This window comes from Homo sapiens, chromosome 17, assembly GCF_000001405.40.
Source record: "Homo sapiens chromosome 17, GRCh38.p14 Primary Assembly".
In the NCBI taxonomy this organism is placed as follows: domain Eukaryota; kingdom Metazoa; phylum Chordata; class Mammalia; order Primates; family Hominidae; genus Homo; species Homo sapiens.
Window position 1 is genome coordinate 45,280,242 of NC_000017.11, and position 26,363 is coordinate 45,306,604.

Here is a 26,363-nt window from a genome sequence, read left to right on the forward strand (position 1 = left end):
ATGATATGAATTATTCTTTAAAAATGTGTGATTGCCCATACATGCAACACAGAAACACTTTTTTTTTTTTTTTTTTTTTTGAGACAGAGTCTTGCTCTGTCGCCCAGGCTGGACTGCAGTGGCATGATCTTGGCTCACCGCAACCTCCGCCTCCTGGGTTCAAGCGATTCTCCTGCTTCAGCCTCCTGAGTAGCTGAGATTACAGGCATGCGCCACCACGCCTGGCTAACTTTTTGTATTTTTAATAGAGACAGGGTTTCTCCATGTTGGTCAGGCTGGTCTCGAACTCCCGACCTCAGGTGATTCACCCGCCTCGGCCTCTCAAAGTGCTGGGATTACAGGCGTGAGCCACCACACCCGGCCTTCTTTGGTATTCTTTTATTTTTGAGACGGAGTCTCATTCTGTTGCCCAGGCTGGAGTGCAGTGGTGTGATCTTGGCTCACTGCAACCTCTGCCTCCCAGGTTCAAGTGATTCTCCTGCCTCAGCCTCCCGAGTAGTTAGTATTACAGGCATGCGCTACCACACCCAGCTAATTTTTTATATTTTTGGTAGAGACGGGGTTTCACCATGTTGGCCAGGCTGGTCTCGAACTCCTGACCTCAAGTGATCTGCCCGCTTTGGCCTTCCAAAGTGCTGGGATTACAGGCGTGAGCTACTGCGCCTGGCCGACAAACACTCTTTTGAATAAATTTCCTAGAATTCATGGATCCTATCAATCCATCCACTGACTAGGATAAGAACTTCTACATGGCCGTTAAAAAGCATAAGAGAGTTGTATATATGCCAATAAGGAAATCTGTCATATTATTGCATGAAAAAAACATGGTACAGAATAGTCCCTAGAGTAGGATCCCATTTCTTGTGGGGTTGGGGGACAGGGTCTCACTCTGTTGTCCAGGCTGGAGTGCAGTGGTACGATCTTGGCTCACTGCAGCCTCTACTTCCTGGGCTCAAGCGATCCTCCCACCTCAGTCTCCCGAGTAGCTAGGACCACAGGTGTATGCCACCATGCCTGGCTAATTTTTTTTCTTTGTAGAGATGGGGTCTCTACAAAGAAGTGCTAGGATTATAGGTATAAGTGCCGCACCGCCTGATCTTTCTTTTTTTTTTTTTTTTTGAGGCAGAGTCTCACTCTGGTGTTGCCAGGCTGGAGTGCAGTGGCACAATCTCGGCTCACTGCAACCTCTGCCTCCTGGGTTCAAGCAATTCTGCCTCAGCCTCCCAAGTACCTGGGACTACAGGCACCCGCCACCACACCTGGCTAATTTTTGTATTTTTAGTAGAGATGGGGTTTCACTGTGTTGGCCAGATCTCCTGACCTTGTGATCCACCACCCTTGGTCTCCCAAAGTGCTGGGATTACAGGCATGAGCCACAGGCCTGGCCTGATCTTACTTCTTTTTTTTTTTTTTTTTTTTTTGAGACTGAGTCTTGCTCTGTCACCCAGGCTGGAGTGCTGTGGCGTGATCTTGGCTCACTGCAACCTCCGCCTCCCAGGTTCAAGCAATTCTCTGCCTCAGCCTCCTGAGTAGCTGGGATTACAGGCACCTGCCACCACACCCGGCTAATATTTGTATTTTTAGTAGAGATGGGGTTTCACCATCTTGGCCAGAGGCTGGTCTTGAACTCCTAACCTTGTGATCCACCTGCCTCAGCCTCCCAAAGTGCTGGGATTACAGGTGTGAGCCACCGTGCTCGGCCCTGATCTTACTTTTAATTGCAAACAAATATAGGCTCATTATAAAAGAATGCAAATGATACCAAAAAAAGCAAAAGTCTCCATTCCCCAGTCCTATTCTCAGAGGTAACTGCCCTTTGACAGATATCTTTTTAGACTTTTGAAATTTCTTTTTTATTTCTATTTTTTACTCTTTTGTAGACATGCGATCTCGCTATGTTGCCCAGGCTGGTCTCCACCTCTTGGCCTCAAGCAATCCTCCCACCTCAGCCTCCCAAAGTACTGGGATTACAAGCGTGAGCCACTGTACCCAGCCTGGACTTTTTATGCGTGTATAAACAAGTAGTTGTTTCTTCTATTAAAATGGGATCCTGGTGGGGCACAGTGGCTCACACCTGTAATCCCAGCACTTTGGGAGGTTGCCCAGGAGTTTGAGTCCAGCCTGGGCAACATAGTGAGATCCTGTTTCTACAAAAAATAAAAAATTAGCTGGGTGTGGTGGTGCGTGCCTAAAGTCCCAGCTATGTGGGAAGCTGAGGCAACAGGGTTGTTTGGGTCTGTGGGGCTGAGGCTGCAGTGAGCTGTGATCATGCCACTGCATACTAGCCTGGACAACAGAGCGAGATCCTGTCTCAAAAAAAAAAAAAAAAGAAAGAAAAGAAAAAAGATCAAACAAAACCTTAAAAATAAAAACAACTGCATCAAACCCTGGACCTATGGCCAATCAGCATCTAGATCAGGAGGATGAAGGGAGTGCTGGCACTGCCACGTGACACCTTACACACTGGATTCTCCCCAAGGAGCATCAGGGGGGCACAGACTTGCTCTGATCCGATGTGCAGCCTGACCTCTGATGCCTGATCCACCTCCCGGTCCCCATCTCCTAATCAGGGAACTGTTTCTCCTGCTCTTCCAGCTGAAAACCCTAAAGGACACCACTGCCTTGAGGGAAAGCAGGGGCTGTCTGCCCAACCAATGGCAGCTGTGCAGGCTGCCAAAGAGCCATCCCCACTGCATTCTCCGGGGTGGGAAGGAAGTGGTTCTGTGAGTGGCAGCTCTGGTGGGCTTGAGCTGCAGCTCTGGTGCTGAGAAGTCCATGCCTTGTGCTTGGAGCTTTTCCAACTGCCTTGCAGTGGATGCGAGGGGCGAGACATGGAGTATTTATCCTCTTCCACTATATTAGGGTTGTTTACCTTGTTGCCTGGGAGGACTCTTGAGGCCCTCAGCAGGGGAACAGCTGAGAAGCCCAGTGACTAAGCTCCCAGCACTGGGTGCGCGTCTCTTCACACTCTCACACTCTCCTCCCACCACCTCTCAAGAGGGACAGCTGAGCCTTCTCCGGTAGCCTGGGGAGGGGAATTGCAGCTGAGCAGGTCAGGCACGTGGCCTTGGCCTCCCCCAGTGGAAGACGATGATCCACACTGGCAAGAACTCGGCAAGAACTCAGCACGCACTCAGCACGTGTTGCCAGTCAGGGGTGGTGAGGGCGGAGTTTTCGTATTCGACACAGTGTGTCTGAAGTTTGGGGTGGTACCTGCAGATAGTCCCCTCACTGGTCTCACCATCCAGCCCAAGTACACACCAGGGAAGCCGGGTTTATTCACATCCCAGCTGTCTCCTCTCCCCTTAAGGCCACAGGCACCCTGGACGGTGGTGGCAGCGTCTGCTCTGAATGGAGCCAGCGTGTGCCAGGCTTTTGTGCTCTGGCTACAGTGAGCATTTCCTGTGTCAGGTTGGTGCTCCAAAAGTTTTGGATTTTGGAGCACTTCAGATTTTGGGTTTTCAGATTGCGGATGCTCTACCTGTATTTGTTGCTTTTCTTTCGGGGATTGGAGTGTCTCTGACATAAGCCACTTGAAACAAGGTATATCTCAGAGCTTACTTCACCCTGCCCAGAGGGCCAAGGGGATGGTCCACAGAAACGCGCCTTAGGTCCTGGTGCTGGCTTTGAGGCCGAGAGCTTTGACTGGGGACAAGGTGGCTTCCAATCAAGATGATCTGAGAGTTGGGGGTGGGGGAAAGGTTGGTGACAGGGAGAAGGACCGACACCTGTAAGGTCTGTCGGTCTGCAGCCGCCACCGATGCTCCCTCTGGGCCCGGATAGTGTGATCTGACAGGAGGAGGCCTCAGCTCCAGGCCCAGCATGCCACACTGTCCTCTCTGCTCTCCACTTCTAACATCAGTGAGATGAAGGGGTGGGAGGGGTGATTCCTGTCTTCTGTCTCTACTCAAAACTCTAGGACAAGAAGTCTATCTTCTTCCCTCTTCTTCCTGAAGAGTGGTTGAAAGCCGAACTCTCAGGTCAGACAGACCTGGTCTGATTCAGGGCTCTTGCCACCCGGCCAGTGACTTCCTGTCTTGCCAAGCTTCATGTCCCCAACATGTCTGTCTTGCAGGACTGTGGCACGCCTGGCCAACAGGGGGCACAGCTCCGACTCTGGCAGATCTGCCCACTCCCACTGAGGCTGGCTTCCTCCTAGAAGCACCCCACAGGTGGAGGCTACTGCTTTCCTATCATCTGGCCCAGGTCAGGGGCGGCCTCCTATGTGGTTCAGGGGTTTTACCTCAGTGTGAATTTCATGACGCTCCAACCATCTTCCACGTTGGGACTTGCCCCTCAGGCCCTGGCTGTATTGAGACACCGAGGCCACGTGTGTCCTCTCACACTGCCTCTCACATACACACATGCCAGGGGCAGCAGCCAGGCCAGGACACGTGACAGGCTGCTCCCTTCCAGTTCCAGCCGACCTCAGGTGGCTAGTGATAGCCAAGTTCTGTTCACAAGTCAGACCCACGGCCACCCTGCGACTGTCCTGGACAGAAAGCAGAGGGAACACACCAGGCCCCCTTCCTGGCTTCCCTCTTCACTCAGCCCCTGAGCCCTGGCGTACCTTTTTGACAGCGCACTGGAAGCCAGTCTGCTTGTCCTCCATCCTGTGCACCTCTCCGAAGGAGCCTCTGCCCAGGCGGAGCTGGTGCGTGGCCCAGTGGACTTCTTCTCGGTACTCATAATCCACTGGCTTGAGTTTCTGGGGTTGGCAGGAGAGAGAGGACAGTTTCAGTGGCCAGGGCAGCAGAGGGCTACAGGGCTACAGTGAGGAAGACTCTCCAGCTGGTGACCTTGCCAGGGCTGCTGAGCTGAGCCCTCACAACCAGGCAGCCCTGGGGCGAAGGCAGGGATCTGAGCCGGGCAGCACCAGAGAGGGGGCAGAGGAATGAAGTGAAGGCGAGGGAAGGGTTCATGGGCTGCGGCCACTGATCCTTGTGATGAAAAACATCCCAGACTTGTGATGGTGAGACAGAAACAGAACTGCCAATCACCTTGACAATGAAAAAACAAAACTCAGGAGCTAGAAGGTGGAGGGAAGGGAGGAACAGTGAAGAGGGGCGGGGGTCAAGGATGATGTTAAAAGTGGATGGAGGGGCCAGGCATGGTGGCTCACGCCTGTAATCCCAGCACTTTGGGAGGCCAAGGTGGGCAGATCACTTGAGGTCAGGAGTTTGAGACCACCCTGGCCAACATGGTGAAACCCTGTCTCTACCAAAAAACACAAAATTAGCCAGGCATGGTAGTGCACACCTGTAGTCTCAGCTACTCGGGAGGCTGAGGTGGGAGAATCACTTGAACTTGGAAGGGGGAGGTTGCAGTGAGCTGTTATAGTGCCACTACACTCCAGCCTGGGCGACAGAGTAAGACTCTGTCTCAAAACAAAACAAAACAAAAAAATTAAAAAATTAAAAAGTGGATGGAATAAGACAGTGCAGTGGCTCACACCTATAATCCGAGCACTTTTGGAGGCCAATGTGTGAGGATTGCTTTAGCCCAGGAGTTTGAGACCAGCCTGGGCAACATAGCAAGACCTCATCTCTATTAAAAAAAATATAGCTGGGCGTGGTGGTACACGCTTGTAGTCCCAGCTACTCGGGGGGCTGAGGCAGGAGGATTGCTTGAACCCAGGAGACGGAGGCTGTAGTGAGCTATGATTGTACGACTGCACTCCAGCCTGGGTGACAGAGTGAGACTCTGTCTCAAAAAACACATTTATTAAAAAAAAAAAAAAAAAGTGGATGGATGGAATAAAACCCGGAAATCAAAGTTTGATAAAATCATTTAAAGTTATAAAATTATTTGGGAAGTTAACAAGAGGAAAAAGGGAAGGAGGTGGGTGGTGAAAACAGGTCCCATCCTCATCTTCCGTCTCTGGGGGCCATGATAACATCTCCAGTGGCTCCTGGCTGATTCCCCTTGTCCTCAGCATGTGTACTATTAATGCAGTGCCCACATTCAGCAAGCAGGAGGTGACCAACCAGAAGAACTCAGAACAGAAGACGCTAAAAAGGCTGTGAGAAGTGAGATTGGCGGAATAAGAGATGATACTTTTCATCCACAATGAGCACTGTCCTACTGTTTGATTTGTCACCACAGGCAAGAGTGACTCTGATAAAGAGAGAAAAGCATCCCCCAGGTTGCTGGTAGAGGGACATATACAGGTGCCGGGGGATTAGTTACCTCAGTGAGCAGGACACCCTCGTTGTCCTCAGTTTTGGGGCTGGGCTCCCGGGATCTGGAGCCCCTTGCTGCCCAGGTCTTGGCCAGGCTGGTCAGGCTGTGGGCCTGGCCTGAGCTCACGCTGCCTTGCAGAGCATGCACTAGGTATTCCTCCACAGAAAACTTCTCATGGGCACCACGAGACAGGCAGCTGGGCTCCAGGTGTGGGCCAGGCAGGGGCTTTGGACTGTCTACACAGGCCAGTTTGCTCAGGTGTGGGTCAGGCAAGGGTTTCTGGCTGTCTACACAGGCCAGTTTGCCCAGGAAGGACTCCAGAGGGTGAGGTTTCCAGGGCTGGAGAGGGTGGAATGGGAAGGGATGAGGCAGTCTGCTATAGGGGAAGGGGTGCGTGGGCAGGGGCAGGGGGCCTCCGTCCTGGGGGTGGTGCAGTTTCCACACGTGGTTCAGACATTGCAAGGGGCTGATCAGTTTGTGGAGTTCTGATCGAGGCAGAGCCGGCCGTAGGCCCTCGCCAAGCTGCTTAAAACAGAGTTGCCCAAGGCCTGGTTCCTTCAGAGGCTTGGTGAACTGCGGGGTGTTTCTAACATATGGGGCGCCGAGTGGAGACTCATCCTCCTGCGGGGGGAAACACAGCTATCAGCACAGAGGGCCAGGGCCCAGGGACAGGCTCCAATTTCAAGGCCCCATGAACCTGGGGTCTGGGCAGTGGGTGGAGGGTCTCACCTGCACTGGGATGGTGCAGCTCTCCTGCTCAGGGGTCCTGGGGAGGGGTTTGGCCAAGGCCACTCCTGCATGAGCCAGGGACTTTGAGCTCTTCTTCTTCCGTTTCTTCCGGGCTTTGCTGCGACGCTTTCCCTTCCAACACACACGGGCCATTTTGCCCTCTGTAGCATGGGCCACATTGTTGGGGATCTGATCAAGACTCTCGGACTGGCTGTCACAAAAGGGACAGATTTGCATATTGAGCACGAGGAAGCAGGAAGATGGACTGGTCCAGACACTTGTATCTGGACTCCTGCAGATCCAAGGTCAAATCCCAGGTTGCCATTCCTTGTGTGAATGCGGCAAGGTTTCTAAATCCCAAGGAACCTGTTTTCTCACTTATCTCACTTATAAAATGGGTTTGGTATTTTCTGCCATACAGGGTGGAAATGAAGTTTCAATAATTTAGTTCATTTAAAAAGCCCAGCTCAGTGTCTGGCCCCAAGGCAAGCTGCCGAGAAGCTGTGCTTGTTACTATGGTGATGGGGTACAGACTCAGCACTTCTTGGGGAGAGTCAGGGGAGCAGACACGGTTCGCTCACTGCTCTCCAAGGTGAGCTGCCCCTGGAGAGTTCCTAGGAGGGGGCCACGCTCATGGCAGGCCTCTCAGCTCTGACTGAGCAGAGCTTGTTTCTGTTGCCTCCGGATGGAGGAACAGGTAAGGCTGGTCACCTCCATTCTCACAGTTCCTGGGGGTCCCTGGCTGCTGTTGAAGGTGAACAGCCTGGGCTGCTGCCTGGTACTGGGGAGCCTGCCCTTCTCTGCTGGCCTCGGGGCTCATCACTGCCATGGCTCTAACTGGACTGGGATCCCTGCCAAGTATTAAAGGACCCGGCAACAGATGGGTTGCTGCAGAACAGCTGTGGAGCAGATCATGGCCTCAGCCACCCTCCCTTGGCCTCATCTTCTGCCCCCATGGAGAAGGCAGACTCATGGCAGTCCTGGGGACCACTGGAGGCCTACAGGCTTCTCTTGGACAGCTGAAAGAAGTGTGTCTATCAGAGGCTCCTACCCTGGGCCAAAAGGCACCCAGGACAGCAGAAGGAATCCCACCAAACTGAGCATTTCTTGGTTCCAAGGCAGCCAGCTGCCCTCCCCACAATCTTATCACTAGCAGGTTCCAAACTCCAATGATACAAAACCTGCCTGGTGATAGGGGAAGGAGCTGTTTCTAGCTTGAACTCTTGTTTTTTTTTTTTTTTTTGAGACAGAATCTTACTCTGTCACCAGGCTGGAGTGCAGTGGCACAATCTCGGCTCACTGCAACCTTCGACTCCTGGATTCAAGCGATTCTCCTGCCTCAGCCTCCTGAGTAGCTGAGGTTACAGGCATGCGCTACCATGCCCAGGGAATTTTTGTATTTTTAGCAGAGACGGGGTTTCACCATGTTGGCCAGGATGGTCTCGATCTCCTGACCTCGTGATCCACCTGCCTCGGCCTCAGAAAGTGCTGGGATTATAGGTGAGAGCCATTGTGCCCAGCACTTGAACTCTTGTTTCAAAAAATCATCTGTGGGGGAATGCAGAGCCTGGGAACAGACTCAGCCCCACCCTGGCTTCCTTTCTACCGGGCCACCAAGTCTATCTGTCCCCTCCTTTTCTACCGCCCGCATCCCTACTCGGTGCATCTCCCAGGAGAAAAGGCACCAGCAGGTTTCTCCCATAGAGGACAGTGGAAGGCCCCCCCCACCAACCCGGCCTGCGCTCACGGTCACGCAAGAGTGGGAAGCAGCTTCTGTTCCCAGCACCCTCCCTGTTGATGGGAAACGAGGGGGTGCATTAAGGACTCTGAGGAGAATAAAAATAAAATGTCAAGTTGATGTGGCCCAGAGGCAGTCAGCCACAAGCTGTGAAAAGCCTTTGAAAAGCTTATTTGGCTGAGAGAGCGGCTCAGCCAGGAAAGCCTGGGTGAGTTCCAGGAGCTGAACCACAGGTGCTGAGGGAGGGAGCCCGGGGTCAGCAGGAGCGGCCCAGGCAAGTGCTGGGGACGAGGGCGCTGGGTCCAGTCCCCACCTTCCCACTCAGGCTTGTCTCCCCTGCTTACCTGTACTGTTTGGACCCAGCGATGAAAATGCGTTCTGAAAAGGTGGGGCTGAACTCTTGGCTATTCTCACCTAAAGCAAAAGGAGTTGGATTAGCAGAGAGGAGAAAAAATAGGAATTTAGCACTTAGGGGAGAGACATTTTACAGAGATCCCCTCTGGCGCCTCTCCTTCCCCTCCTTTCCAGACAACCCCTGTCTGGCAGTCACCTCCCCACCAATGCCTCCTTCCCGCACTGTCTCTCCCCAGCTTCTCAGCTTACTGGTCAAGAGCAGACCACGGCCTCAGCCACCTGCTCTGAAATAGCCAAGCCTATATTATGGGGATCACAGGGCGCCCGCCTCACTTCCTATGAAGCTGAAGTGAGATGATCTACAGAAAATGCTCAACACAGTGCCTGGCTCATAGGAAAAACAGCTATTAGGTATTTATATATGTGTGTACATATAAGTGTGGATATATGTGTATTTTTTTAAAACAATTATTATGTCACTCTCTGTATTTTAGTTTTTATTCTCTCATCTCTCCTCAAAAACCAACCAGGAGGAAGTGGGAGACGAGGGCAGGATGTATGCGTGTGGAGAAATGACAGCATGGCTGTCCAGCTCTCCAGGTTCCACCCCAAGAAGCCTCCCGGGTTGAGGGAAGGCGTTGGAGAGAGAGGACTCCCGGCCCTACCCAGGCCTCGTGGGAGTTTCTGTCTCCAAGGGAAGCCACCATTACTAGTCATCATAAGGTATCATGAGTAGAAGAAGAAAGGACCAGACTAGGTCTCACCCTGCAGCAGCCTGCCGCCCCAGGACTGGCCCAGCAGGCTCAAGAGCACGGTGCTCATTCCTGGGGGTGGGGCCACCTCTAGGTGGAAGATGGTGAAGGCCCTACAGGCCCCAGTGGGGCTTTCCAGGAGACCTGGCCTTTCCTGTCTGGAGCCTCTCCAGACACTGGGGCTGCTCAAGGTCACAGCAGAAGGTTGATGGCCTGCTTGATGATTCTGCAGAGTCCCGAGTGCTCGTCTGTTACCTCTCTTCCCCTGCTCCAGTCACGATGGGCACAGTCTCCCCTTGCCACATCCACCATCTGTGCACTTTTACAACCCCACTTTCCATGATTCTCGGCACAGACCTCTGGTTGTGTCTCATGAGAATCTTATCTAGCAGTGACACAGACCTCTCTCCTCCATAGGGAACCCCTGGGCCCAGCTACCCACCTGCAGGCCCACCCACCTGCCCCGTGCCCACAACAACCCTAGGCCCCTACACTCAGCCTGGGCGATGATAGAGATGGCAGCTGGCCCTGCCTCGGAGCCTTCCTTGGCTGTGCCCTTGGTAATCACGTCATTCAGGATCTCCCACTTTCCGCAGAACACAGGGCTCTTCTCCACGGCCTCAAGCTTGTAGACGGAGCTCTGTTTCTTCCCCAGTGGCGGCGTCTTCTCCTTGGCTTTGGGGAGTTCCTTCTGCTGCCCCACTGCTGAGCCAGGGGCACCTGGGCAGGCCATTTCCATCACTGCCATCTCCCAGGCTTGTGCTCATCCTGAGAGAGACCAAACACAGAGCAGGTCACTTAGAATCCCAGACCTGGGAGAACACAGGTCAGCCTTGGGTTGGGGGAGAAAGGCAGGGGCAAAGGGTCTCTGCCTGTTTATGTGTGCCTCTGCCACACATACTCATCCTCCAAACATCCTCAATGGTAACAGAGTCCACCTCTCAACAGCTACACGTTCCACACGGCACAGTCCCCCGGTCCTCCCAGTACCACAACATAAACAGCCTCCTTCACTGTGTCCAGCAAGGATGCCAGCCCACTCCCTCTAGGAGAGCTGTGGCACAAATGTCTGGGTTGGCTCTTTCTTGCCTTTATGATGGCTCGATCTTTTTCTGTTGTTTTATGGCAAACTTTGTTTCCCCAGGACAGGGTGGTGAATCCCAGACTCCAAAACCATGGCCTCACTGACCCCACATAAGCCTTTGGAGAGGACCTGTTGGCACACACCATCCACAGCGACTTTTCTCCAAGTGGAGAGAAGCAAGGTTCTATTCTGTTCCCTAGTAGGAGGTAGATATCTGTGTGTGTGTGTGTGTGTGTGTGTCCTACAAAGTCTAAAACTCAGCATGCAAATGGTGCTCAGCACGTGGTTCCTTGCCCAATGCGTCTGTTTGTGGCTCTCCAGAAGGAACTAACATGCTTCCTCCTCTAATGTCCAAACTCATTGGCTGAAAACTTCTAGGTATCATTTTTCATTCAGGCAACATCAGGAGTAGAATTTATATTCAAGGCCCTAACACGAACCTATACCTCTAGAAATAAAGAATAAAGCATAAGAATTCACGTCTCTCTGGGTTCTGTCTTGCCCAGCCCTAGGAAGCTGCAAAGAAGAGCAACCCAGAGTTGCCAACAATCTGTGCAAACAGCCTGCAGACTGGAATTGGCAAAAAAGAGAAGAGCACTGATTTGAGACTGTTACCATTTGGAAACCTTTTTAAAGGCTGGGAGTTTTTAAAGGGCAGGGCCCCTCTCAGGCATGACTTGCTTTAGAAACAGCCTGAGAAGGTCCCAAATGCAGACAGATTTTTAATAACTGCTCTCTGATGGTAGGTTTGTCTTAAAGCTGCTACCAGCAGAAATCATCTTCCTTGCTATAACTCTGTGAACCCTGGATCACTTCTCTGCTTCTGGGGCAGACAGGTACACCATCTGAAGCTGAACTCTAAGGCCTCTGGCCTTTTGCCCTGTGAGGCCTGAGGACTGAATGAGATGGTGGGAAGCTGAGGTACTAGGTTGAAGCATTCCTCCTTCTGAATCTGCCTCACTGGTCTTCCCACCTCGATGGCTATGAAAGGCTCTGCCAGCTTGGCTGGCGGGTGTGGTGGGGTTTGTTGTTCACTATTGATTAGTTCCTTGCATCTCTGTCTTTAAGGGTCTCCTAGCTCTGAACTTGGAGCAGCTCCAGCTTCCTGCAAGGATGCCTGGATTTGGTACCAAACGCCAGATGCTGAGGAGGCTGAATGGGTGGCCTCACTGTTACCTGAGGATCTTAAGAAGTCTGAGGGGGCCGGACATGGTGGCCCATGCCTGTAATCCCACCACTTTGGGAGGCTGAGGCAGAAGGATTACTTGAGCCCAGGAGTTCAAGATCAGCCTGGGCAACATGGTGGAACCCTGTCTCTACAAAAAAATACAAAAAATTAGCTGGGGTAGCTGGCCTGTAGTCCCAGCTACTCTAGAGGCTGCGGTGGGAGGAATGCTTGAGCCCAGGAGGTTGAGGCTGCAGTGAGCTGAGATTGCACCATTGCATTCTCCAGCCTGAGTGACAGAATAAGACCCTGTCTCTAAAAGAAAAAAAAAGTCTAAGGGGTGTTCTGACATCCAATTAGGCAAAAGCCCTTCAAGGCTGGCTATGCTTCTTGTAACTGTACTTTCATCCCACCTCACACCTCCCCACCCCACTCTACCTCCAAAAAAGAAACTGACCTAAGCCCAGAGCCGATCCCACTGTTCTCAGCCTCTTTACCAGGGGAAATGAGATCTTAAGAACAGACCAAAAAGTCTCCAAACCTAACAGCAGTAGGGAATGCTCACAGGGAGCTCGATGTGAGCGTGACCTCCTCATTTCTATTTGAAGAAGCTGAGGCCTAATTCAGTGGAGACTTGCCCAAGGTCACCCAACCCACGTGTGACAGGACATGGCCAGGATCCAGACCCTAGGTTCTTTAGGCTATGATGCCCACTCCCCAAGCTCCTGGGTTACAGGCAAATGCAGGAGGGCACACTAAGGTCCTCCCTGGTCAACAGGCTCCTGAGGGAAGAGGTGGGGCCCTGCACACAGTGCCTCCCCAGTGTATAGCACAGGGGCCACAGACCACGCAACTGACGCTGGCTGAACGAGGGACTCAAAGGACAAAGATTGCTTTTCCATAACCTTTGGAGACAGGATGATCCCGAATGCTGAGGAGGAAGAGAGAGTCCTGCCTGATGAATGAGAAAAATGAGGCCAGGTGGTGCAGTTGCTGCTCTGAGGGGCACGTGGCTATTAGAGATCTGGCTGTGTGGGGGCTCTGATAGCCTGTCTCCGCCTGGCATGGCCCAACGGAGGCTTCTGGATAGGTCATCCTGAGCTAGAACTCCTCCAGAGGGGGTGCAGGGCATCCCGAGTCCCAGAGTTGTCCTTTCATATTGGTGTTAGGTAGGCAGCTGTCCAGCGCCCCTCTGTGAGCACACCAGGCTCCCCTCTTCCCAGAGAAGTGGAAGCTGAGGCTGAGGCAGCCACGCTCAGAGACTCCTTTGCAGTTCCCCGATGACTCATCCAACAGCCTGGCAGGCAGACAGTAACAAGGAGGCTGTTGAGAAGCTGACCCAGCAGATGGCAGCTGAACTTGTGAAGGACATGGGGAAAACAGGCTGACCCTCACCTCTCAGGGGCACAAATCACGGCCTGGGAGCTGTAAAGCTCCTCCTGTGGCTGGCTTTTCTGTGCCACATCACCATGACTCAGACCCTCACCGACAGCCTCCAAGTTCAAGAGGCTATTCTTGGGACACTTTGGCCTGACAGTGGCTCTCCCCAAACACCACCTCCCACACAGACACACATGCACACACACACATGCACACACAGACACACACACATACGGATGCACTTGCTCCCTCCCTCCTTTCCTAATTCTATCTGGACTCTGGTCTACAAAAATCATGGTTCTGTACTAAGTCCAGGACTACTGGCCAGGGGGCCTTCCCAGCCCTGGACTTTGGTCTCTGGCTGTCACCCCAGCTCATGGCCCTAACACTTTGCCCCTTCTCCCTCCTGCAGCGTGTGGGGAGGACGAAGTGGGAGCCAGTTATGTCTCTGCCTTTGAAGGCAAGTCAAACTCCTGATTCATTCCTCAGCCTAGACACTCTCCTCAGCTTATTCACGCCCCAAAGGCATTGGGCCCTCTACTCTCTGCATAAGAGTTGAGGACACGAGCAGTGGCAACAGCCAAACCCACATGGCTCACCCATAAGCCCAAGAAATCAGAAGAGGAAAGGAAAGGAGCAGAATTCACTCCATATTCTTTGAGGCCTGATGCACAGACACTGTTGGTTCTTTCTTCTGTGATGCCTCAGTGACCTCCTGGAGAAGCCTGGGGGATAGGAATGATCTGGACAGTACCAGATCAACCTCTGGGCATAGCTGTATGAGGAGTTCTTAATCTAGGTTCAAGGATGGATTCAGGGAGAAAAATGTAATTTGCATTTTTCCAGGGAAGACTTGGTCCATAGCTTTCAACAGATTCTCCAAGGATCTGCCATTCCCCAGAAGGTTCCTCTAGTCTCCCTAGAAAATCAGGGCCGGGCTAAATGCCTGATTCTGGCTCTATTCTTCCACTCCGAGGAAAAGCTCTCCAATGCAGCAGTTTCCAATCTGACCACAGATTAGAATAACCAGATAAGTTCTTTAAATGCATTCCTCCTAGGCCTGCTGAACCAGTCACTGGGCATTAGGCCCAGAATCTGTACTTTTGACAAGTTCTCTGGATGATTCTGATGCCAAAGGGCCAGAGACTGCCACCTGACCCCTGCTCTGTACTCAAGGCGACACTGTCCAAAATGGTAGCCACTAGCAACATGTGGCTATTTACATTTAATTAAAATGAGGTAAAATTTTAAAATCATTTCCTTGTTACACTAGCTACCATACTCAACAGTGCAGACAGAGAACATGTCCAGCATTGCAGAAAGTTCTATTGGACAGTGCTGTTCTGAGGTGATGAGAGCGGTGTTTTCTCTGACAGTAAAATTTCTGTTCCTAGGATTCTGGGGCAGGAATGGGGTTTACAGTAAACAAATTTTTGATTCACTGGAAGATACAAAAACAATGTTTTAAATGTTAATCTTCACAGATGATAACCTTTTTAGAATATATCATATTTCATTCAGTTCCCTGTTTTAGCAAGTACAACATAGTAAAAATTCCAGACTGGGAACCAGAAGCTATGGGTTCTAGCCTTAACAATTTTTTTTTTTTTAAGAAGAGCAGTGGGACCATTTTTGTCAAATGAAATCATACCTCATCTCCCAATAACTAAAAGAACCAGATGCATGCAACTGGCATGTAACTCACATTTGAACCCGCTGCCCTGGCTGAAGGAGCTCCACATGCTCAGTGTCCCTTCATCCACCGAGGACCTCTACAAAATCCCTAGTTCTCCAAGAAAAGAGTTTGGAAACCAGCGGCCTAGGAAATCTTTTGAGGTTCCTTCTAGTTCTGAGAATGTAGCCCATCTGTCAGGATTCTTTGAGGGCTGGACAACTCCAACTCAGAATACTAACTGTCGATACTTACAAAGTACCTACTGTCATCTCATTTTCAGACATGAAGATATGGCTTAGGGAAGTGTAGTAGCACACCAAAAGTTACGCAGTTGCAGGTTGCAGAGGTGGGGTTGAACCTAGACTGCTGCCTCCTAAGCCGACATCTAAACCTTGAGCTAGCCACTTCTTTTAACTTCTCTGAGTTTCTTCTCTTAGCTCCTTCAGAGCTGTTTTGAAGACCGAATGAAGACGAGTACATGAAATGCCAATCAGGTTGCCTGGCCAACAGAAGAGGCTAAATGAATGTTCATTCCCTTGTCTGTCACCAGGCTACTAAAAGCCATCACTGAGAAGATGGGACTTCTCTGTTTCAGCACCATATAGCCAAGGTATCTTGAGCCTTACCTAGTTCATGCAATGCTTGGAGCCTTGATTCTCCATACACGAAAGGGAAATAAAACTCTGTCTTACAGGGCCAGCTTGAAAATGTCTACAAGGGGCCAAGGCAAATCCCTCTCATGACTATTTCATCTGGAAGTAAAAACTTGTCCTTCTCTGAATGCCCAGAGGGGATAAATAGCAGAAGTAGAATGACTCAACTTCCTTAATAAGATATTGGTTGAAAACCAATCTTCTCCCAACTTCCTCTTTTAAGTCTTCAGCTTGCCTGGCCACCAGGCCACAATAGGCAAACCTCTGCCTACTCAAAGTGCGGGGCTGGGCTGGGTGCGGTGGCTCACGCCTGTAATCTCAGCACTTTGGGAGGCCAAGGCAGGAGGATCACTTGAGACCAGCAGTTTGACACCAGCCTGGACAACATAGTGAGACTTCATCTCTACAAAAAATTAAAAAATTAGCCAGGCATGGTGGCACACGCCTGTAGTCCTAGCTACTTGGGAGCCTGAAGCAGGAGGGTTGCTTGAGCCTGCAGTGAGCCATGACTGCACCACCGCACTCCAGTCTGGGCAACAGAGCAAGACCCCATCTCAAAAGGAAAAATAAAGAAAGAAAGAAAAGGAGGGGAAAAAAAAAGAGGGAACCAAGGGCAAGTATCAGGCAGAGCAAGCTGGCCTGGCAAAACAGCCATCTGGCGAGGCAGACTCAGAAGTCCCCATACATGCTCATCCTGACTCCCCTTTCTACCCTTTCTGCCCTTCCTACAGCCCTTCCCCCAGTTTGTTCCAGACTGATTCCTTCACTTGCCCGAGCAGGGCAGCACTGGGCAAGCCTCTGATTCTCTTCTTCTGCCCACCCTGTTCCTCCCATAGGGAGTGGCTGCTTGCCTTCCTCCCTTATCAATGTCTGCCCAGATCTCACCTATCCTTTAAGGCCTATCTACTCAATGAAGCCTTTTATGGTAGGCTTCTGCATCCACCCTATAAACATTCAATGAGTGTCTCCCAAGTGCCAGGGAATGTAATAGCCACTACCGTCCATAAATGTCTTCTGTGTATGGGGCACTGTGCCAGGAACTCTATCTGCCTTGTTAATGCATTCCACACCAACCCTGCAAGGTTGGCAATATTATCTCCAATTTTACAGATGAAGAAATTAAGGCTTAGAGAGGTACATTACCTACAGGAATAAATGAGGCTCAATTTATACAGTTAGAGCATCCAACATGGAGTTAGGGCTCAAGCCAGGACACTCTTGGCCCATTCTCTTAGGACCCAAGGATCTCTAGTTCCTTCCTAGAATAAAATCTGGTTGGCAGAGGCATCTAGAACATCCAGGAACTGAGCAGTATTACTACCCATGTGGATATTACTACCCCTAGCATCTGCCCATCTACTGTTGGTAATAATTCCTTAGCCCAGGTAGACAGGAAGCAGACGAAGATCCCTTACTGATGAGGGGTCTTGTCAAGTCAGGGCTGAATCAGCCATCAATTTGTCAGACTTTTAGTTCAGTTACGCCACTAAATCCTGTTATGTTATGTGTTATGACTTAACTTGATGGTTTTAACAGGTCGTTTCATTTTCTTGAAACAATCAAACAAATGCACATCTAATACACACATACACAAACAGGAGTTCTAGGTAAGGTGGCACTGCCTTCACTGAAAGAACCACTGAAGGATGTACTTTGCAAAGAAAAAAGTAAATAGGAAAAAGAAACAATGGTAGGCACAGGAACTCAAACAATATGTTGGTCAATTTAATTAACAGTTGAATATGAGAAATTGGTTTAAATCTTTTTTTTTTTTTTTTTTTTTGAGATGGAGTCTTGCTCTGTCGCCCAGGCTAGAGTGCAGTGGCACAATCTTGGCTCACTGCAACCTCAGCATTCTGGTTCAAGTGATTCTCCTGCCTCAGCCTCCTGAGTAGCTGGGATTACAGGCATGTGCCACCACATCTGGCTAATTTTTGTATTTTTAGTAGAGATGGGATTTCCCCATGTTGGCCAGGCTGGTCTCGAACTCCTGACCTCAGGTGATCTGCCTGCCTTGGCCTCCTAAAGTGCTGGGATTACAGGCATGAGCCACCATGTCTGGCCAGTTTAAATCGTTTTAAAACATGAAAATCTAGACACCAACAATAAGGAAGATGGGTGAAATGGGTTGTTCAATGGGTAAAAAGTAACATGATCCTTGCCTTTTTGGGGACTTTATGTACAACAACTTTTAAATTTTATTAGAAAAAATTACAGTTAGTATGTATGTTGATTTAAGAGTAATGACTAAAATAATAGAAATACAATTCAGACCAGAAGAATAAAGGAGGAAAAATAGAAAATGCTGTCAATCTGATACAAGGCAAGGCAAGGAGGAAAAAAGAAGCAAAAAGGACAATAAATATAAAATAAAAACACAAGATGGCAGAAATAAGGCAAAATATTAGCATGTCATTAACCACAGTACATGTGAGTAGATTACAAAACAGCAAACCAGATTGGATTTTAAAAGATCCAGCTAGATGCTGACTAAAAGAAACAAAACAAAATTATCCAGAAAAGTTGGAAATAAAGACATAGAAAGAGATGTGCCAGGCCAATATTAACCACAAAGAAGTAATATTCGTATCAGACAAAATACTTAAGACAAAAAGATATAATCACTTCTAGGCACCCGATAAAGAGCCTCCAAATCCAATGACTGGAGGCAGGCTGAGGCTTTATGTTGAGTAAGGTCTTGGCCCCAGAGTGTCCTGTCTAGCTGCAGAGCAAGGATCTTATGCGTGGCAGTTCCTGGGCATGTACTAGGTCTGCTGGGTGTTGGGCCCCGTGCTGAGTGCTGGCAGTACACTGAGGAAGAAGACACTGTCCCTTGAGGATCTTACAGTCTACTGGGGGAAACAGACAAGAAGTCAGAAGAGTTCAGTACAATACAGGGATGCAATGACAGAGATAGACACACAGCAGATGTGACGGGAACACAGAGCGACACCTAGTCCAGCCCAGGAGGTGATGCCTGAGCTGAGTCTGAAGCAGTGAGCAAGACCTGCCCAAGAAAAAGGAGAGGGTGTTCTGGGTAGAGGGGATGGCAAAAGGTAAGGCACAGAGGTGAGTCAATGCAGCAATCACCAGCAGCTTGAAGTTGTCAGTGAGTAAAGCGTAAGTCAGGCAGTCCCAGGAGAGGAGGCTGCAGATGAAGTTCAGCTATCAGACCATGGACACACGCTTGATCCTCATATACCCCCAGGGTTTAAATTCTCAGATGAGTGAGCGGGGTATAATTCCACATTCCTCCCAGACTCTTGGGGGTAAAGTTCCAGATGGCAGAAGCTGCAGAGTAGGGGCAGATGGCACTGGCCAGGCACAGTGCCTCATTCCTGTAATCCCAGCATTTTGGGAGGCTGAGGCAAGAGGATCACTTGAGCCTGGGAGTTTGAGATCAGCATGTATAACATAACAAGACTGTGTCTTTATGAAAATAAAAAAAAAGAAAAAAGAAAAGAAAATCCTGCCATTGGTACAGAACCCCCACCCTGGCCTGGGCTAACAATCTGACAAGTGACAGGCTTCTGAAAGGCTTGCTTCACTCTCTCCCTCAGGCGGAGAAGGAGAATGGCCATGTGATCCCTGGGACATAGAAACAGATGTCTGAGGAAGGAGGAAGGGGCCTTACTGGGGCCTGCACTCAGGCACTGTGAGTGAAACGCAGCTGGAGGAACCTCAGAACTGGACTCATTGGCCTGCTTGAGGCCTGCTTCCCAGGAGAGTAATTTCTGAATAAGCATTTCCCATTAAGGAGGATATGAAATGTGAAGGTACATTAATCATTAAAATCTTACAGATCAATTATTAAAAAGAAACAAATCTGACATGCCCTCAAAAACTCAGTCTCGGCCAGGCATGGTGGCTCACGCCTGTAATCCCAGCACTTTCGGAGGCCGAGGCAGGTGGATCAGTTGAGGTCAGGAGTTCAAGACCAGCCTGGGCAACATAGTGAAACCCTGTCTCTACTAAAAATACAAAAATTAGCCAGGCATGGTGGCGCGTGCCTGTAATCCCAGCTACTCAGGAGGCTGAGATGAGAGAATTGCTTGAACCTAGAGGTGGAGGTTGCAGTGAGCCGAGATCGCGCCACTGCACTCCAGCCTGGGCAACAGAGCGAGACTCCATCTCAAAAAAACAAAACTCAGTCTTGCTGCCAATCCCACAGGTCAAACTGCAGGGTAAATACAATTTATGGGGTAAAGTTTCTGACTGTCCTGCAATTACCACCACATGCCTGATGATGGCTGGCCGGCCCTAGCCGTGCAGAAACTACTGTCTATAAGGCCCCTTCAGATGTTTAGGGCAATTCCCTCGCATCTATTCTATTGGCATTGGTCTTACCCACTTCCAGCTTCTCTCTGACCTCCCACCCTGGCGCTGAGCTAATCTTGAAACATCGTGTACTTAAGACAACCTCAAGCTCAAAGACATCTGCTGGCTCTGCACTGCTTATGGGCTCAGTCTCAGCTCTGTGGTCCATAATCTTTTTGGCCATTGTTTCCCCAAACATAGGGTTTGGCTTTGGCCAGTCTGATCTCTCTACAACCCCTTGGCTACTCAACTCTCCAGGTCCCATGTGTGCCATGCTGTTGTGTGGGCCACCCCATACATCCTGCTTGTCCTTCAAAGGCAAGGCTCAGCCTCTACCCAGGAAGTTCCTCCCATCAGCTCCACTGTACAACGGCCTCCTTTTCTGCCTGCCCACAGCACCTTGTCTCCTCTATCCTCATCCTCCTCCTGGTCCTGACACCCCCACTCCCTTTTACTCATTCAATGAAACAATGTAGATGAAGGAACTCTGGGAACAATAAAGCATCATAGCAAGTGAAGATACCCACTTTTTGTGTGCACAACTCACAGAATTGCAATCTAAGTAGGGAACAAATTAAAAAAAACAGAAAAAAGCATAATCAAAAATGTTTAGGGCTGAGCATGGTGGCTTATGCCTGTAATACCAGCACTTTGGGAGGCCAAGGCAGGAGGATTGCTTGAGTCCAGGAGTTTGAGACCAGCCTGGGCAATATAGTGAGACCCCATCTTTACAAAAAAATACAAAACTTAGCTGAGCATAGTCACACGTGTCTGTAGTTCTAGCTACTCAGGAGGCTGAGGTGGAAGGATTGCTTTAGTCTAGGAGTGCAAGGTTGCAGTGAGCCATGATTACGCCACTGCACTCCAGCCTGGACAACAGAATGAGATCCTGTTTCAAAAAAAAAAAAAAAGCCGGGTGCCATGGCTCACGCCTGTAATCCCAACACTTTGGGAGGCCGAGGCAGGCAGATCACCTGAGGTCAGGAGTTTGAGACCAGCCTGACCAACACAGAGAAACCCCGTCTCTACTAAAAATACAAAATTAGCCAGGCATGGTGGCACATGCCTGTAATCCCAGCTACTCAGGAGACTGAGGCAGGAGAATCGCTTGAACCTGGGAGGCGGAGGTTGCAGTGAGCTAAGATCATGCCATTGCATTCCAGCCTGGGCAACAAGAGCGAAACTCCATCTCAAGAAAAAAAAAAAGTTCACAGTATTTCTATAACAGTAAAAAAACTGGAACAAAAAAGTCTAATTACAGGGGAAGGATAATTATTAAATAAATCATGGAACATCCATTAAAAATGTTTATAAATCATTTTAACAATATGGAAAAATGGGATATTAAATTAGTAGAAAGAGGATACAGAAGCATATCTAAAATACGACCCTATATACATGTGTCGGTATATTACAATGATATTTATAAAAATGCAGATACCTAGGACATATAGCAATGGTTCTCTTTTGGTGGTGGGCTTATGGATGATTTAATATTTCTTTTTATACCTTTCTAATTTTTCCACTTTTTCAGTGAGCACATATTAGTTTTCTCAGTTCTCTTTTTTTTTTTTTTTTTGAGATGCAGTCTCACTCTGTCACCTTGGCTGGACTGCAGTGACACGATCTCAGCTCACTGTAACCTCTGCCTCCCAGGCTTAAGTGATCCTCCCATTTCAGTCTCCCAAGTAGCTGGGACAGGTGCGTGCCACCACGCTTGGCTAATTTTTTGTATTTTTGGTAGAGACAGGGTTTTGCCATGGTGCCCAGGCTGGTCTTGAACTCTTGAGCTCATGAGATTCACCTGCTTCAGCCTCCCAGAGTGCTGGCATTACAGGCATGAGCCACTGCGCCCGACCTTGGTTCTCATTTTTAACAGATAATGTTTCTAAGTGGTTAAAAAAAAAAATACAGAAGGGGTGCCATTGAAAAGCATGAGTCCTTCCCTCCATTCCTATAAGGGGATCCCCGTTAACAGTTTCTTGTATCTCCCTCTACTGATTTTCTCTGTAGGTATTACTTTTATTCATTTTTATTATTGTTATTATTTTTATGAGATGGAGTCTCACTCTATTGCCCAGGCTGGAGTGCAACGGTGCGATCTTGGCTTACTGCAACTTCCGCCTCTTGGGTTCAAGAAATTCTCCTGCCTCAGCCTCCTGAGCAGCTGGGATTACAGGCGCCTGCCACCACACCCGGCTAATTTTTCTATTTTTAGTAGAGACCGGGTTTCACCATGTTGGCCAGGCTGGTCTCAAACTCCTGACCTCAAGTGATCTGCCTGCCTTGGCCTCCCAAAGTGCTGCGATTACAGGCATGAGCCACTGTGCCCGGCCAAGTATTACTTTTTAATCATGAAAACAACTAAAAAAGAATCTCTTGGCATGGGATGAGAATTTAGGAAGCATTAGGTCCACACTTGAGATTGGGGCTTTATAAATATGTGATGAGCTGGTTTCTCCAACCGTGTGCGCGCACATGCACACACATGCAAGCACAAACCCATGTGTGGGCAGGAAACTTCACCAGAAAGTCTGTGGCTCTTCTGTTCTGCTCACTGAGTTCTGGCAGCTGGGCCGCAAAACAGAAGGCTGGAGATGGGCAAGCTTGTCCTTCCTGGTTTTGGTTTTCATTTCATTCCCTCCCTTGTTCTCTGCTGAGGACTGAGAGTTTTATCAGTTGTGACTCAAGAAATAGGAAGGTGCTCAGAAGATGCGGACTGTTTCCTGCTTTGATTTATCGAATGGCAAATGCATGCGTGGTTACAGGCCCGTGCTAGTGCTGGATGGACCACATGCCCCTGGGCAAGAGTGGCCCCCCAGAGTGAAAAACAGCAGAAGTGGACCAGGGAGAAAAAAACCAGCCCTTCCTCCACTGCTTGCGCAAAGGGGTGGGAATCGCAGGGTTAGTCCTAGTCTGGGAAACCCAAGGGAGGACAGTTTTCCTAGCTAGCCTCTCCTGCCTTTCTTATATGTGATCTTTAACCTTGCTTAAAAATTTTTTTTCAGGCCAGGTGCAGTGGCTCATGACTGTAATCCCATCACCTTGGGAGGCCGAGGTGGGTGGATCACTTGAGGTCAGGAGTTCAAGACCAGCCTGGCCAACATGGGGAAATCTCGTCTCTACTAAAAATACAAAAATTAGCTGGGTGTGGTGGTGGGCACCTGTAATCCCAGCTACTTTGGAGGCTAACGCAGGAGAATCACTTGAGCCCAGGAGGTAGAGGTTGTAATGAGCCGAGATTGCACCACTGCACCCCAGCTTGGGCAACAGAGTGAGACTCCATCTCAAAAATTTTTTTCCAATACCAAAATAATTGTTCATTGTAAAAATGTAAACAAAACAAAATTGTATATAGAAAAAAAATCCCGGCACCGTCCCGTCCTCTCTGCAACATAAAAAACACTTAAGTTTCATGTAAATCCTTCTAGTTCCAATTACTATACATATATAAACATATAGTTTGGGACTTTTTTTTTTTTTTGTATTTTTAGTAGAGACGGGGTTTCACCGTGTTAGCTAGGATGGTCTTGATCTCCTGACCTCGTGATCCAGCCGCCTCGGCCTCCCAAAGTGCTGGGATTACAGGCGTGAGCCACCGTGCCTGGCCTAGTTTGGGACTATTTTTAAAAGAAACATGGATTATACACATGTAATGTCATACAAATTGTATCTTTCACTTAAGATACTATGAATACTATTCCATCTCAGCACATTTAGATTTATTTCTTTTCTTTTCTTTTTTTTTTTTTTTTTTTTGAGACGGAGTCTCGCTCTGTCGCCCAGGCTGGAGCGCAGCAGCCCATTCTTGGCTCACTGCAACCTCCGTCTCCCGAGTTCAAGTGATCCTCCTGCCTCAACCTTCCGAGTTACAGGCGTCAGCCACCACATCCGGCTAATTTTTGTATTTTTAGTAGAGACGGGGTTTCACCATGTTGGTCAGGCTGGTCTTGAACTCCTGACCTCAAACAATCCACCCGCCTTGGCCTCCCAAAGTACTGGGATTACAGGTGTGAGCCACCATGGTTGACCTCTAATTCATTCTTTTTAAGGCTTCATAAGATTGGAAGGTACAGATGTATCATCATTTTCCCACCTGGAAACTTTGTTTCCAATTTTTCACTTATACGTAATAATGGAAAAAACTCTACCCTTATTCACATTTATGTGTACATGTAGAAGGAATTCTAGGTGGTAAGCTCTTGGGATTGGAATTTCTGGGTGACTCTTTTGTTAATGGGTTATATCTTTTCTCCTGTTTCTATGTGTCAGAGAAGTAGATAGCATCAGATAGGTGGTTTCCAAACATTGTATTATTTATTTGCTGTGAAGATGCTATCCTTGCTTTCAACATGCCTATAGTCTAGATGGGGAAAAAATGGGTAGATGGATAAATAAATCATAAAGGAATAATCAAAGTGCTCTTAGGATCAGAAAGACCCTCAGAGGTAATTTCTTCCAACATATTACTTACTAATCCTGAGGAATGGCCATTCAGCTACATGACAGGATGGCCTTGGAGTCAGAAGATCTGAGTTTGAATCTTAGTTTCTCAATACTCTGGTGTGTGACCATGGGCAGGTCACATAATCTGAGACTCAGGAGTCTTATCTGTAATATAGGGATCCTCAAACCTACATGATAGAATTTTACACGGTGACTCAATGCAAGGAACAAAGTTTAAATTACATAGCACAGTGCCTGGCATGCAGTGGGCACTCTGGAAACATCAGTGGAACCTCCAGTGAGATGGAAGCCGCTACAAGATGAGCAGTCAGACCTTTGTATGACTGGAAGTGTAAGATTTTTTTTGGTTTTATGTTTTTTTATTTTTTTTATTTTTTGAGACGGAGTCTTGCTCTGTCGCCCAGGCTGGAGTGCAGTGACGCAATCTCGGCTCACTGCAAGCTCTGCCTGCCGGGTTTACACCATTCTCCAGCCTCAGCCTCCTGAGTAGCGGGACTACAGGCACCCGCCACCACGCTCAGCTAATTTTTTGTATTTTTAGTAGAGACAGGATTTCACCATGTTAGCCAGGATGGTCTCGATCTCCTGACCTCGTGATCCACCTGCCTCGGCCTCCCAAAGTGCTGGGATTACAGGCGTGAGCCACAGCGCCCGGCCGTTTTTTTTTTTTTTTTTGTGAGACAGAGTCTTGCTGTCACCCAGGCTGGAGTGCAGTGGTGTGATCTTGGCTCACTGCAACCTCCACCTCCCGAATTCAAGCGATTCTTATGCCTCAGCCACCCAAGTGGCTGGGATTACAGGCATGTACCACCACGCATGGCTAATTTCATTTATTTATTTTTTTGTAGAAATGGGATTGTGCCATCTTGGCCAGGCTGATCTCAAACTCCTGGCCTCAAGTGATCTGCCCACCTCAGCCTCCCAAAGTGCTAGGATTACAGATGTGAGTCATGGTCTATAAGTGTTAAGTTGCTTCAAAGTTGCTGCTATAAGGCACTGAAGCCTACCTCCCACAGCTTCTAGCCAGCAGCCCTAGCATCAGACAGAAAGTCTGGAACAGATGTGGTCAAAGCAGGAGGAGGACAATCCTGAAAGCAGAGGGACAGAGTGGTCGGCAAGAACCCATGAAGATGTTCTTTGAAGAGCATTCTGCACACCCCATCTGGCTTCTGTGTCCACTGGCAGTGCCTCAGCTCTGCGTGATGAACTGGGACCCACAATTCCTTGGCAGCTAAAGCTGAAATTAGTTGTCCTGTGGTCATCTTTGAGTGTTACAACAATCTGCTATTTGTATACACATAACTACATGCTGGTTGTTGGTAATCATACAAATGAATAATAATGACAGCTATTATTATCTGCCATGTATTAGGTAATGCGTGCATTTTTTTCTTGAATCCTCACAACTCTGTGAGCAAGGCACTAATGTTATCCGTTTACAAGGAGGAAGAAACTGGGCCTCAGTAGGCCAAGTAATTTGCCCAAGGCCACACAGCAGTGAAGTGGCAGCGGCAGGATTTGCACAAGAGACTTTTATGTCAAAGCCCATACTCTTAACCATGACACTCTTCCTACTCCCAAATGATCTAAGCTTTAAAAATTGGGACCGAGATGCAGAAGCTGTCACAAGTCAAAGGTTAGTGAGAAATTCAGGGACTGGCCTGGGAGGAAGCACCTTAATTAGGAAGCATGAACTACAGCCAGCCTATGTTCTGGAAAAAGCAACTTTAAAATGACAACAGGGAAGAAAGACTCCAAGCTGGACTTGTGGTGGGCCTGTGTTCCTCAGCCCACCCAGGCCTGACATAGCCAGGCCCATTCCAAGGAGAAATTCTATGACAAATGCAAATTTGCCATTCACTTTAC

The 26,363-nt window shown here is 49.1% G+C and overlaps 1 protein-coding gene across 4 annotated transcripts in view, besides 7 other annotated features; it reads right to left on the bottom strand.

Moving 5' to 3' along the window:
- MAP3K14 (mitogen-activated protein kinase kinase kinase 14) overlaps positions 1 to 26,363 on the bottom strand; it is a 53,902-nt gene that overhangs the window by 17,123 nt on the left and 10,416 nt on the right. For all 4 annotated transcript variants that reach the window (NM_003954.5, XM_047436997.1, XM_011525441.3 and 1 more), the window contains 5 exons: positions 10,249 to 10,524; positions 8,995 to 9,064; positions 6,913 to 7,123; positions 6,190 to 6,804; positions 4,571 to 4,708 (listed from right to left, as the gene is read on the bottom strand). In NM_003954.5, the coding sequence (NP_003945.2) occupies positions 4,571 to 4,708; positions 6,190 to 6,804; positions 6,913 to 7,123; positions 8,995 to 9,064; positions 10,249 to 10,504 (1,290 nt within the window). In that variant the 5' untranslated portion in view covers positions 10,505 to 10,524. The remainder of the gene's footprint in view (positions 1 to 4,570; positions 4,709 to 6,189; positions 6,805 to 6,912; positions 7,124 to 8,994; positions 9,065 to 10,248; positions 10,525 to 26,363) is intronic.
- Positions 10,230 to 10,433: a silencer, noted in NCBI's record as "fragment chr17:43367837-43368040 (GRCh37/hg19 assembly coordinates)". NCBI's record gives its function as "represses an EF-1alpha promoter that drives an FKBP-Casp9 reporter gene in an ReSE screen in K562 erythroleukemia cells {active_cell/tissue: K562}" and the evidence as "EXISTENCE:reporter gene assay evidence [ECO:0000049][PMID:32094911]".
- Positions 13,242 to 13,536: an enhancer, noted in NCBI's record as "tiled region #11783; HepG2 Activating DNase matched - State 25:Art". NCBI's record gives its function as "activates a minimal TATA promoter and a strong SV40 promoter by Sharpr-MPRA in HepG2 cells {active_cell/tissue: HepG2}" and the evidence as "EXISTENCE:reporter gene assay evidence [ECO:0000049][PMID:27701403]".
- Positions 13,242 to 13,536: a silencer, noted in NCBI's record as "tiled region #11783; K562 Repressive non-DNase unmatched - State 25:Art". NCBI's record gives its function as "represses a minimal TATA promoter and a strong SV40 promoter by Sharpr-MPRA in K562 cells {active_cell/tissue: K562}" and the evidence as "EXISTENCE:reporter gene assay evidence [ECO:0000049][PMID:27701403]".
- Positions 15,446 to 15,505: an enhancer, noted in NCBI's record as "active region_12295". NCBI's record gives its function as "activates an Ori minimal core promoter by ATAC-STARR-seq in GM12878 lymphoblastoid cells {active_cell/tissue: GM12878}" and the evidence as "EXISTENCE:reporter gene assay evidence [ECO:0000049][PMID:35858748]".
- Positions 18,798 to 18,947: an enhancer, noted in NCBI's record as "active region_12296". NCBI's record gives its function as "activates an Ori minimal core promoter by ATAC-STARR-seq in GM12878 lymphoblastoid cells {active_cell/tissue: GM12878}" and the evidence as "EXISTENCE:reporter gene assay evidence [ECO:0000049][PMID:35858748]".
- Positions 19,718 to 19,767: a silencer, noted in NCBI's record as "silent region_8619". NCBI's record gives its function as "represses an Ori minimal core promoter by ATAC-STARR-seq in GM12878 lymphoblastoid cells {active_cell/tissue: GM12878}" and the evidence as "EXISTENCE:reporter gene assay evidence [ECO:0000049][PMID:35858748]".
- Positions 22,688 to 22,737: an enhancer, noted in NCBI's record as "active region_12297". NCBI's record gives its function as "activates an Ori minimal core promoter by ATAC-STARR-seq in GM12878 lymphoblastoid cells {active_cell/tissue: GM12878}" and the evidence as "EXISTENCE:reporter gene assay evidence [ECO:0000049][PMID:35858748]".